Source organism: Homo sapiens (assembly GCF_000001405.40).
Source record: "Homo sapiens chromosome 16 unlocalized genomic scaffold, GRCh38.p14 Primary Assembly HSCHR16_RANDOM_CTG1".
Classification (NCBI taxonomy): Eukaryota; Metazoa; Chordata; class Mammalia; order Primates; family Hominidae; genus Homo; species Homo sapiens.
This window is the reverse complement of record NT_187383.1, coordinates 1114085-1126498: the sequence shown is the minus strand read 5'-3', so window position 1 is coordinate 1126498 and position 12414 is coordinate 1114085.

Below are 12414 nucleotides of genomic sequence, written 5' to 3'. Positions count from 1 at the left end.
TCTAAAAAGCCCGACAAGTTCAACCCAGACATGCACCTAAAGCTGTCGCCGTCAGCCCGGGACAGCCCATTCAGTCACCAAAGGTTTCAGTGGCCCTTCATATGTGCCAGGCCCTTGGCACTGAGCTTAACAGTCTAAAGGGGAAGAGCCCAGGTTTTCCATGATGGGCAACCCTGTCAAGTGCCACGCCTCAGAGCTGCATATGCAGGCTGCCCTGGGACCTGAGGACAGCACTATGGGTCAGCCAGGGACATGGTGTGGGCCCCTCGGAACAGGCTCCACAGGGAAGCCTCAGAGATTCATGAAGAGGAGGTTCTGGCTGGGCCGGCAGCTGGAGGGGGTGTTCCGCACAGAGACCCCCAAAATGCTCAGAGAATTGAGTTGGGGGAGAGCATGTATTACGTGAGGCTCTCCCATGAGACCCACATGGCTGCTTCGTGACAGGGGGAGGCCGAAGCAGAGACTGTGGGGGAGCCGCGTCCTGGAGGATCCATGTGATAGCAAGCCACTGGAAGTGGGGTGCACAAGCCAAAGGGGGGAAGGCAGGTGGCAGGGAGCCCACTTGGTCTATATGGGATGGTGGTGGCCCCACCACAGCAGTGGTCCCAAGGGTTGTGAGAGAGAGGCTTAGGAGGCGACATCTACAGGCTCTTTCATGGGTGGAGTCCAGCTCTGCAGGCTGAAGACTTCTTGAGGTTGGCTACCTGAAAACGTGAAAGTGCCTCACCCTGCTGGGCCACACACTGAGAAATGGCCATGATGGTTGGGCAGTCACATGGGACAAGAAGAAAGGGCAGATCAGCCCCAGGCTTCTGGGTCAAGTGATAGGACTGAGACAGTAGTGGCAGAGGCAGGACAAAAGCTCAGAAGGCTTTGGCTGGGAAGCTGGAACTCTCCCACTGCTATCCAGGCAGCAGCAGAAGACTATGGGGGCCAAGGGTACTGGCTTGCTTCTAGGTGTGATGTTTCCTTTCAGGCCAGGCCCCCTTTCCCAATTACAAGGGCTACTCAGGGGTTCTCAGGCTAACCTCCTATGTGTCCTAAGCCCAGTCCCACTGAAAACTTGTGCTAAGCACCAGGCTTTCTCCGGAACATGCTCCCCTCCTTGGCCACTAACCTGCTCACATCCTCCTTCTTGATCTTGCCTCCCTCTTCCTTCTGCTCCCCGATCTTCTATCGCTCTGCTGGAGGCTGGAATCCATCCTGTCATCACATTCCCTCTGTCCCAGCCTCAATACCTCTGTGAAGCCAGCAACCCAAGCTCAACTGCCCGGAAGCACCCTATCCTGATCATCTGCTAGGCCTCCCCTGCTCAACCCTGCTCTCCCTGTCCCCTCCTTTCCTTGCTGTCCCCAGGCCTGGCCAGAAGTCCCACTCTGCAACCAGCCCTCACACCTAGCACGATAGTGTTACTCCATGGGCAGCCAGAGCTCCCTTTCCAGCAGGGGGCTGCGTCCTGGCATTCCGAAAGCCCAGAGCAGAACCAAGATCATCTCAGACTCCCAGAGACTGGAAAAGCCTGCTGATTCAACTCCACGTGGGCCTCTCAGCTCTGTCCCCTCAACCCCACTTCTGCTACCAGTGCCCCAGTTCAGGTTCCCAGCAAGTCTCACTGACAACCTCCAACTTGGTCTCCCCACTTCAGGCTCTCCTGCTCCACTCCATCCCATACACCCTTGCAAAATATTAATCCACACAGGTGACTGCATCCCAGCAGTACTGGAATACCCACTAGGCAGGCTCTCTACCACTCAGAAAAGTTGCATACGAAGTCTGGAGCCCTTAACTCCTAACCATCTAACCTGCTCAGGCCATGAGTACCTGCTCACGCCATGAGTACCTGCTCGCATTCAAGAACTGAGCCTCTCCGTGGGACATAAAGAATGTGGAAAGAAAGGGGGTGGGTGTGGTGGCTCATGCCTGTACTCTCAGCACTTTGGGAGGCCGAGGTGGGCGGATCACATGAGGACAGGAGTAGGAGATGACCAGCCTGGCCAACATGGCGAAACCCTCTCTCTACTAAAAATACAAAAATTAGCCAGGCGTGGTGGCATGTGACTGTAGTCCCAGCTACTTGGGAGGCTGAGACATGAGAACTGCTTGAACCCAGGAAGCGGAGGCTGCAGTAAGCCGAGATTGTGCCACTGCCCTCCGGCCTCGGCGACACAGAGAGACTGTGTCTCAAAAAAAAAAAAAAAAAAAAAAAAAGAAAAAAAAGAAAAAGAAAAAAGAAAAAAAATCAACAACAACAACAAAGAAACAGACAGATAATAGGAGTGGCACGGGTGCTCCAAGAGGATCAGGAGGCCCAAAGAAAACGGACTAGCTGAGGCCACTGTTTATGACGTCAGAAACAGAGCTGCAGTCTCGACATCCACCATTGAGGAATTGGGTAGACACTCAGGAACACTCAAGAACGCTGGAGAGGCCAGGCACAGTGGCTCATGCCTGTAATCCTAGCACTTTGGGAGGATGAGGTGGGAGGATTTCTTGAGCCCAGCAGTTTGAGATCAGCTTGGGCAACAGAGCAAGACTCTGTCTCCACAAAAAATTTAAAAATTAGGACGTGGTGGCACGTGCCTATAGTCCCAGCTACTCGGGAGGCTGAGGCAAAAGGGCAGGGCTGCAGTGAGCCATGGTCACACCAATGCACTCCAGCCTGGGTGATGGAGTGAGAACTTGTCTCAAAAATAAGTAAATAAATAAATAAATAAATAAATAAATAAATAAATATGTTGGAAACAGGTCAGTTGTCCCAGAAAAACATTCATGATAAACTGAGTAGAACATTCAAGTCACCAAGGGGCATTTAAAGCATGTGGTGCTTTAAAGCCCCATGGTTAACTTTTTTTAAACATGGGAATGTTTTTGAAAAGCATGTGGAGGCTGGGCGTGGTGGCTCAGGTGCCACACCCTCCCATGTTCCCATCCAGTAGCCTGATCCAAAAAAGCCATGAGGTTGGTCTTGGGTGACTTCTTAGAAAAGGAAATGGTGATCCCAGGGATCAGTGTGGATTCACCAGTTGCCCATAAGCGATCTAGTTAATCATTTCTGGAATTTTGCCAGAAATATATACTCCTTGCTAGTCTAAGAGTTAAGGCTAGAACCAAGACAGGGGCAAAGGCCGGGGCAGATCTAGGGCACAAGCAGGGCAGGCTAGGGCAGGGCAATGGCAAGACCAGGCCATGGCAGGGCCAGCCCAGGATAGAACAGGGCACAGGCAGGGCAGGGCCAGGGCCATGGCTGGGGCAGGACAAGGACCAGGACCGGGGTCCAGGCCAGGGCAAGGGTATGGCCAGGGTAGAGGTAGGGCCAGAGCCAGGGTCTGGGCAGGACCAAGGCAGGTCCATTGCAGGGCCAGGGTTCAGACCAGGGCCAGAGCAGGGCTGGGACAAGGCCAGTGCCAGGACCAGGAAAGGGCAATGTCAGGACAAGGGCAATGGCAGGACCAGCAATGGGGCTAGGGCCAGGACAGGGACAGGGACAGGGTCAGGGCTAGGGCCAGAATAGCATGCCGGGGTAGAGCCAGGCCAAAGTAGGGCCAGGACAGGGTCAGGACCAGGGCTGGGCCAGGGTATGGCCTTAAGTAGCAAAGGGCCAGGGCCAGGGTCCATGCCAGTGCCAGCGCCAGTCCAGGGCAGAGGCAGGGCCATGGCCAGGTCTAGGACAAGGCTAGGGCAGGGCCAAGGTCTGGGTCAGGGTCAGCACAAGACCAGGACAGAGCCAAGGGAGGGACAGGGCCATGGTAGGGCCAGGTTAAATCAAGGACAACACACCTGCAAATCCACTTCAGGGCCAGGGTCAGGGTAGGGCCAGTTCAGGGCCAGGGCCAAGACAGGGCGAGGGCCAGGGCTGTCAGGGTCATTGGCAGGGCCAGGGCCATGGCAGGACCAGGGTCAGGAGCAGGGGTCAATGCCAGGCCAAGGCCACAGATAGGACCAGGTCTGTGCTAGGGCCAGTGTGAGGGCCAAGGCGGGGTCAGGGCAGGGCCAAAGGGAGGGCAGGGCCAGGGCAGGGTGGAGCAGGCCCAGGGTAGCACAGGGTTAAGGTAGGGCACGACCAACCAGGGCAGGTCTATGGATGGGGCCGGGACAGGGCCAGGGCCGGGGCAGGGCCAGAGCCAGGGCAGGGCCAAGACAGTGGCAGCTCCAGGGCAGGGCCAGGGTTAGGACCATGGACATGTCCAAGGCCAGTGCCAGGGCAAGGGCAAGGGCAGGGGCAGGGCCAGGGTCATCTAAGAACCAGGGACAAAGCCAGGCCCAGAGCAGGGCCAGGACAGGTACCTGGCAGGGCTAGGGTCTGGGACAGGGTCATGGCAGGGCCAGGGCCACAACCAGGTCTGTGTTATGGCCAGGTCCAACACAGTGCCCAGGTAAGGCTAGGGTGAAGGCCAAGGTAGGGCCAGGGCAGGGCCAAAGCCAGCCTAGGGCCAAGGCAGGGCCAGGGCCGGCAAGGCAGGGCCAGGAAAGAATAGGGCCAAGGCAGGGCAGGGCCAGGCCAGTGCCAGGACCTGGGCAGGGCCAGGGAACAGCCAGAGCAGGGCCAGGGCCAGGGCCATGGCCATGGCCTGGGCAGGACCAGGTTCAGGGCAGGAGCAAAACAAGGGCAAGGACAGTGCAGGTTCTTGGCACAGCCAGGGTCCAGGACAGTGTCAGGGCATGGCCAAGGCAGGGTCTGGGCCATGGTAAGACCAGCAACAGGGCTGGGGCTAGGCCAGTGACAGTGACAGGACCAGAGTCAGGGCAAGCGCCAGAGCAGTGCAAGGCCAGGGTAAGGGCCAGGCATTTCAGGGTCAGGGCCAGAGGAGAACCAGGGCAAGGTCTCAAGCGGGGAAGGGCCAGGGCCAGGACAGGTCCAGGGCAGGGCCATGACAGGGCCAGGGGCTGCATTAGGGTAAGGGCAGGGCCAGAGCAAGGTAAGGGTCAGGGCCAAGGCCAGGGTAGGGACAGGGCAAGAAATATGGCAGGACTAGGGGCAATGCCAAGGCCAAGGCTGGGCCAGGGCTGAGTCAGGGCTGAGTCAGGGCAGCGCAGGAGAGGGCATGGTATGGCCAGTGCAGGACAGGACAAGAGCCGGTCCACAGAGAGAGCAGGGCTGATGCCAAGAAAGAGCCAGGCTAGTGCCAAGGCTGAGGCAGTGTCAGAGCATGTCCAGGGCAGGGCTGGGGCCAGGACCAGAACTGAGCCAGGGCACAGCCAAGGCAGGGTACGGCAGGGAAATAGTATGGCCGGGTCAGTACTGGGACAGGGCAGAGCAGGGCAAGGTGATGGTAGGGGCAGGGCAGGGACAGACCAATGCAGAGCCATGTTATGCTGGGGCCAGGACACCTCCAAGTCCACTTCAGGGCCAGGGCTATGGCAGGACAAAGACCAGGGCCAGGGTCAGGGCCAGGTCTGTGCTAGGGCCAGCTCCAGAGCAGGGCCTAGCGAAGACTAAGGTGAGGGTCAAGGTAAGGCCAGGGCAGGGTCAAAGGCAGAGTAGGGCCAGGGCAGGGTGATGACACATCCAGAGCACAGCAGGGCAGGGTGATGGCAAGACCAGGGACAGACCACTGCCAGCTCAGGGCCAGGGAAAGGCCAGTGCTGAGCCAGGAAAGGGTCTGGGTCTGGGTCAGGGCCAGGACAAAGGCAGAGGAGGGCCAGGGCCATGGCAGAGTCAGGGCAGGTCCTTGACAGGACCAGGTTCCAGGCCAGAGCCAGGGCAGCAGCAGGGGCAGGGCCTGGATAAGGGCAGGGCCAGGGATATGGCAGGACCAGGGCTAGGGCCAGGGCCAGGCCATAGTGAGGGCAGGGCAAAAGCCAAGGCAGGGTCAGGTCAGGTCCAGGGAGTGGCCAGCACCAAGCGGGGCCAAGGCACAACCAGCGCAGGGTAAGGCAGGACAATGGCACCACTGGGCCATGACAGGGCAAGGTCAGTGTCAGGAGAGGGCAGAACAGGAAGGCCCATGGTGGGGCCAGGGCAGGGACAGGCCAAAGCAAGGCCAGGACATGTCCAAGGCCCGGTCAGGGACAGAACAGGAGCAGGACCATGACCATTGGCAGGGCCAGCGCCATGACAGGACCAGGGTCAGGACAAGAGGCAGGGCCAGAGCCAGGGCCAGAGCCAAGGTCAGGCCAGTGCAGGTTCAGGGCAGGGCCAGTGCCAGGGCAAGACCAGGGCAGGGACAGGGTAGCACAGGGCCAAGACAGTGTCAGGATGGGACCAGAGCAGGACAGGGCCTAGAGTCCAGGTAACAGTAGGGCAGGTACAGGGCAAGGCAGGGCAGTAAAGGGCCAGATCCATGGCAGGGGCAGGGCAAAGACAGGCCCATTGCCAATGCACCAGCCCTCCCTACAAAGCTCCTACGGCCTGGCCACTGCTGCAGCCCATCCATCGCTGTAAGCCTGACCCCCAACCCTGGCTGCAGCCGCCTGCCCTCCTAGCACAGCCGCTCTCCTACCGCTCTGGTGCACTGCAGTCTCCGTCGCTGCCACCCACTCGCAGCGAGGCGAGCTGTGGTGTCGCAGGCTCTGGGTGTCTCCTCCTCCTCCTGGCATGGAGCAGCTGGGCGGGCAAAACCAGAAAAGCCTAGAGGAAGATGTGAGGGGTGGAAGGGTTAGAGCCTCAACTTGTCATGCTGGCCACTGGGTGGCAGGGGCCAGTTTCAGCAAAGGCACTCACATCCACCCTCCAAAGTCCAGCCTCTCCTTTTGGCCCAAGCTGGCCGGGAACTGGGGTCTGGGGTGGGTGCTGGAGACACCACAGCACCCAGCTCCCCACTCCACAGAAACCACTGGGCCCACCGGGTCTGCACTCCTTGGGGAGCAGGAGAAGCAGAAAAATTCAGACCCAGCCAGCCCTCCACACGCAGGTGCCAACTCCTGTTCCGAACGCCTCCACACACAGTGCCCTGTCTCCCGTGGTGTCCCCAGGGGTGCCTGGCAGCCTCTGAGGCACAGACCCAGAGTGCACAGGCCCAGGAACCACGGTGGGTGTGGGGGCTCTGCTGTGCTCAGGATTCCCATGCAAACGCTGTGCGCCTGCCGCACTCCAGTATGACCCAGTGTGGGTCGCCCTCTGGAGTGTGGAGTCAGGGAGAGGAGAACCACTCCTTCCTTGGATGCCAACTCTGCTGACCGCTGCCAGCAGTACAGCCCCTGATAGCACCAAGCTCACCCCCCCACAGCTAGTCCTGCCCTCAATAGCACCCCCCACCTCCATCCCCCAATGCCGCCAGTAGCGTATACCAAATAGTGCCCTAACCTGTCCTCCTCCACGGGCATTGCAGCCCCAGAAAGCACCCATAACCCACCCTCTCTGCCGTGGGCAGTGCAGCCCTGTACAGTGCTACCAACCAGTACCCCTAATGCAGGCAATGACACCCTGGATAGCGTCCCCAACCTACCCTACACTGTGACCTAAGGTGCAGCCCTGGATAGCCCCTGTCCTGCCACTCTGGTCGTGCTGCACATCAGCCATCCAAGAGTGAGATGCTAATGCTCCAAGTCCTAATCTCACTTGAGGAAATGCATGCCCTGCTCCACTTCCAAACACTTTGTAGACAGAGGTCCTTTCACTGAAGAACAAGCACCCACAGGACATGCTCCTCACAGTGAACCCACATTTGATTAGCATGGAGACAATTGGGATCATTTCTGGGACCATTACTGTCTATGACACTGAGCAGATGCCTTTGCCTCATCCTGGTTTCATCAGGCACTAGCACAGCCCACTGGGGGCTCTGATGAAGTGACCGCTGGATGTCCCATGTGAGTATCCAGCAGGCCCCATGGACAAGCTCTGAGATCTTCTGGGTGCTACTGAGACAGTGTCTTCAGCATCTGCCTGAGATCCTAAGATCTTCAATAGAAGACTCTTGGTTTACTGATTTGGCTTGTGATGTGTGATTGGTGCTGATTTTCTCATAGACTGACAATGGCAATGAGGTGTTGGAATAATAATTTGGAGTTCTTCATGAACTCCCAGCTCTCAAAATAATTTCCAAGGAATTGGTGTTTTGAGTAAGTTTGGGTTTTATTTCTCATTCTATTTAAAATAATTTTGTGACATATTTATATCAGGAAACACAAGACACTCCAATGAGAAAGCTGTTTTTATGTGAGGTACAAAGCACTGGAGAGATGGAGATGTCCTTGAATTCTCAGAATTGCTAGAACTTGAATACCAAGGTCACCTCTGAATGGCAGTAGTCTGTCTGTGAGGACATCAATCAGCTCTGCCTTTAGGAATTTTTGAATGTGTGGACAAGATCAAGAGTGTGATTTATTTTTATCCATCCTGGTTAGAGGGAAACTTCCAGTCCCAGGAAGTGGGTGATTTTAACTGAAACACCTGAGAGCTGCCATTCTGAGCAGTTTTGAACCCTGAGATCTATTGAAGATCTTTGGAGAAAGCAGTGGGGCCTATCTGCATTCTCCTCAACGTGTGATCCTGAGGATGTGGCCTAATTTCTGTACACTTTCATGTTAAAAGATGTAGATGGCAGACTGAAGTGACAATTTCATATGCAAACTCTATAATAGGTCATAACTGGAGAATAGTCTCATCACCAAGATTACTTCACTTACTTTCCTGGGAACCAGGGAGAACCTCCGTGAGCCCTCCCATCTGAGCACACAAAGAACTCTGCTCCTGCCCTGACAGATCACACCTGTGACACGGGTACTTGAGGACAACAAGAATCAAGTCTATTGTCCTCATTCATATATTGACCAATCTAGCTTGATCCTTCTGTCTCTGAAAGGCCTCTCCTCCACTGAATTGCATGAACATACCTTCTGGTGAGGGGCATTGCAACTTTGGTATTTGATATTAGTTTAGTGAATTACATAATAAATATGCATCCATGGATTTTGGTAACAGGAGAGTCATCAGAAGCTGGGTGAGTCATATAATCAGGACAAACCTGGGCTCTCTTCTTAGTACCTGGAAAGAGTGGGCTGACCTTCTGTGGGGCAACAGAGGGGAAGAGACAGACCAAACTTCCAGAACCAGGTGAGCTCCTCACTTTCCAGGTGGTCTCTGAGCCTTTTGTTTGAACCCATGCAGAAGGACCTGTCCTCGCCTTCAGTGAAATGGCAAAGTTGCAGAAAAGATCACAGTGACCAATAATTTTTACTTACAGAGATAAAAGTGTCATAGACCTGTAAACATCAATGTGGGTGTGTATACGGTTTGCTAGGGTGTTCTCATACACCCACAAAAAATGAAATTATATTTTCTGGAAAGAAAACCAAAGGGCTTCTGAATTTGTAGGTTTTGTTATTCTCATATATGCCAGCTCCCATTTTAGGATGCTGCTCCCTAGGAACCAGGACATCGGCCCTCTGACCCTGATGACAGAACGAGCTGCTGAGGCTCAGTTCTGGACAAGAGCTACTGATAAGAGACTCACTTCCTCCACACAGCCCCACTCATGGCTGGAGGCTCTTCCCTGGGTGCAGCACCACAGAGGACATTGGGTCCCTGGTTCACAGCCCTGCTCCTGTGGCAGAGAGTCCACCCCAGCAAGAACTGCTTGCTGATAAAGTGGGAAACTTCTCCCCAACCCTCCGCTGAGCAGTCAGAGCCTATGCTGAGGGAGGAAAAAGCTCATCTGTCTCCATCTGCAGAAACTTACTTAGGAGCTCTGTCCCAGGAAAGAGGGGCTGCTGTAATTTAGCCATAATATAGAATCTTGAATCTGGTCTTAAACTACCTACATTCGTTTACAATAGAATGTGGAAAAGTTCAAAGCTTGAGTGTGCTCTCCAAAATATTGGAGGCTGTGGTGAAAGGAAGGCCCTTGGAAAGAAACAGGTGGATGCATGGGAGACAATGGCTAAACTGCAGGCCTGCTGGCTGGCTGGCTGGAGAAAACCAAGGAGGGAGAGACCTGGAGTTCTTCTGGGGTCAGAACAAATATCAGACACTCTTCAAACAAGCCCAGTTTTGTCTGTATTAGTCTGTGATGCAATTCAAACCTTAGTGCTTTGTTAAAAAGAACAGAATTTTCAATCTGCAAGTGGTGGAATTCAACATCTGGGCCTGGTCAGGAAAGAGACAGAGAAAGCTCAGCCCATACAACTGATATCTGAGAATGGCAGTGTTTCTTACAACTATGTCCCTTTGGTCGTTGAGACTGGCTTCTCTCAATTAGCGTAATGTCTGGAGTTCACTTGTAATAGTTTGTGTATCGGTCATTTGTTAGTTTTTATGCTGATGGTATTCAATGTATAGATGGGGCCTACCTTCTTTGCCCATTCGAATTTTCATACATTCATGTTATTTTTAGTTTCTAACACATGCACACACACACACACACACACACACACACACACACACACACTATGTTGAATATTTGCATAGAGGTTTTGTTTGAATATAAAATTATATTTCTCTGAAGCAAATATTCAGGAGGGGGATTTTTAGGTAATGTGTTAAGGGCATATATAATTTTACAAGAAACTAAGAATTATTTTCCTGTGTAGCTGTTTCTATTTCCATTCCCATTAGCAATGTTTTAGACTCTGGAAACCTGGTATGCTCACCAGCATTGGTGTGATCCATCTTTCTTCTTAATTTCAGCCATTCTAAAAAGGGTGTTTGGGTATCTTATAGTGGTCTTGATTTGAATTTCTCTGATGAAAAATCCTGTTGAGATCCTGTTTATATGCCTATGTGTAATCTGTACATCTTCTTTAATGAAATGCCTGCACAAAACTTTGCCTATTTTATCCACGGGTTGCCTCTTCTTTTATTCACTGTTGAGTTTTGAAGTTTCTTACTATAATTACACAGGTGGTGATATGATTTGCAAATCTTCTCATCTAAAACTTGACATTCATTCTCTTAAAATCACTTGAGTACAAAAGGATTTTAAGTTAAATGAAGTTCAACTGATATTAATTTCATTTATTGATCATGATTTAAACTTTAATTTTCAAGATCTTTGGTCAACTATTTTTTATTTATTTATTTATTTATTTTTATTATTATACTTTAAGTTTTAGGGTACATGTGCGCATTGTGCAGGTTAGTTACATATGTATACATGTGCCATGCTGGTGCGCTGCACCATCTTGTCATCTAGCATTAGGTGTATCTCCCAATGCTTAATAATTTTATATTTTCAATTGTAATTGCTTTTATCTTTATTTGTATAAATTTAAGGGCTATGGGTGCACCTTTGTTACACAGAAATATTACAGTGGTATTGGCTTTAGTGTACCCAACACCCAAGTAACGTACATTGTACCCATTAGGTGATTTTTCATCATGCTCCCAACTCCTACCCTCCCATTCTGCTAAGTCTCCAATGTCCATAATCCCTCTCTCCATATCCTTGTGTACACACTGTTTTCCTCCCACTTATAAGTAATAATGTGTGATATGTGGCTTTCTGTTTGTGAGTTAGCTCACTAATTATAATGTCCCCCAGTTCTAGGCATCTTGCTGCAAAAGACACAGTTTCATTCCTTATTGTGGCTGACTAGTATTAAATTGTGCATATATGCTATATTCTTTTATAAAATCATCTGTCGGTGGACACTCAGGTTGTCATATATGCTATTGAGAATAGATTTGTGGTAAACATAGAAGTGTGGGTATCTTTTTGAAATCATGATTTCTTTGTCTTTGGGTAGTTACCCAGTAGTGGGATTGGTAGAATAAAGGCCAGTACTGTTTCTCATTTTTTGGAAAGTCTCCATACTGTTTCCCCTCTCTCTCTCTCTTTTTTCCTTTTTTAACTATACTTTAAGTTCTGGGATACATGTGCAGAATGTGCAGGTTTGTCACATAGGTATACATAGGCCATAGTGGTTTGCTGCACCCACCAACTCATCATCTACAATAGGTATTTCTCCTAATGCTAACCCCTCCAGCCCCCCACTCCCCAACAGTCTCCGGTGTGTGATGTTTGTTCCCCTCCCTGTGTCCTTGTGTTCTCATTGTTCAACTCCCACTTGTGAGTGAGAACATGTGGTGTTTGGTTTTATGTTCTTGTGATAGTTTGCTGAGAATGATGGTTTCCAGCTTCATCCATGTCCATGCAAAGCACATGAACTCATCCTTTTTATGGCTGCATAGTATTCCATGGTGTATATGTGCCACATTTTCTTTATCCAGCCTATCATTGATGGGCATTTGGGTTGGTTCCAAGTCTTTGCTATTGTCAACAGTGCTGCAATAAAAATATGTGTGCATGTGTCTTTATAGCAGAATGATTTATAATCCTTTGGGTATATACCAAACAATGAGATTGCTGGGACAAATGGTATTTCTAGTTCTATCTAGATCCTTGAATAATCACCACACTGTCTCCCACAATGGTTGAAGTAATTTACACTACCAACCACAGTGTAAAAACGTTCCTATTTCTCCACATCCTCTCCAGCAGCTTTTGTTTCCTGACTTTTTAGTCATCACTATTC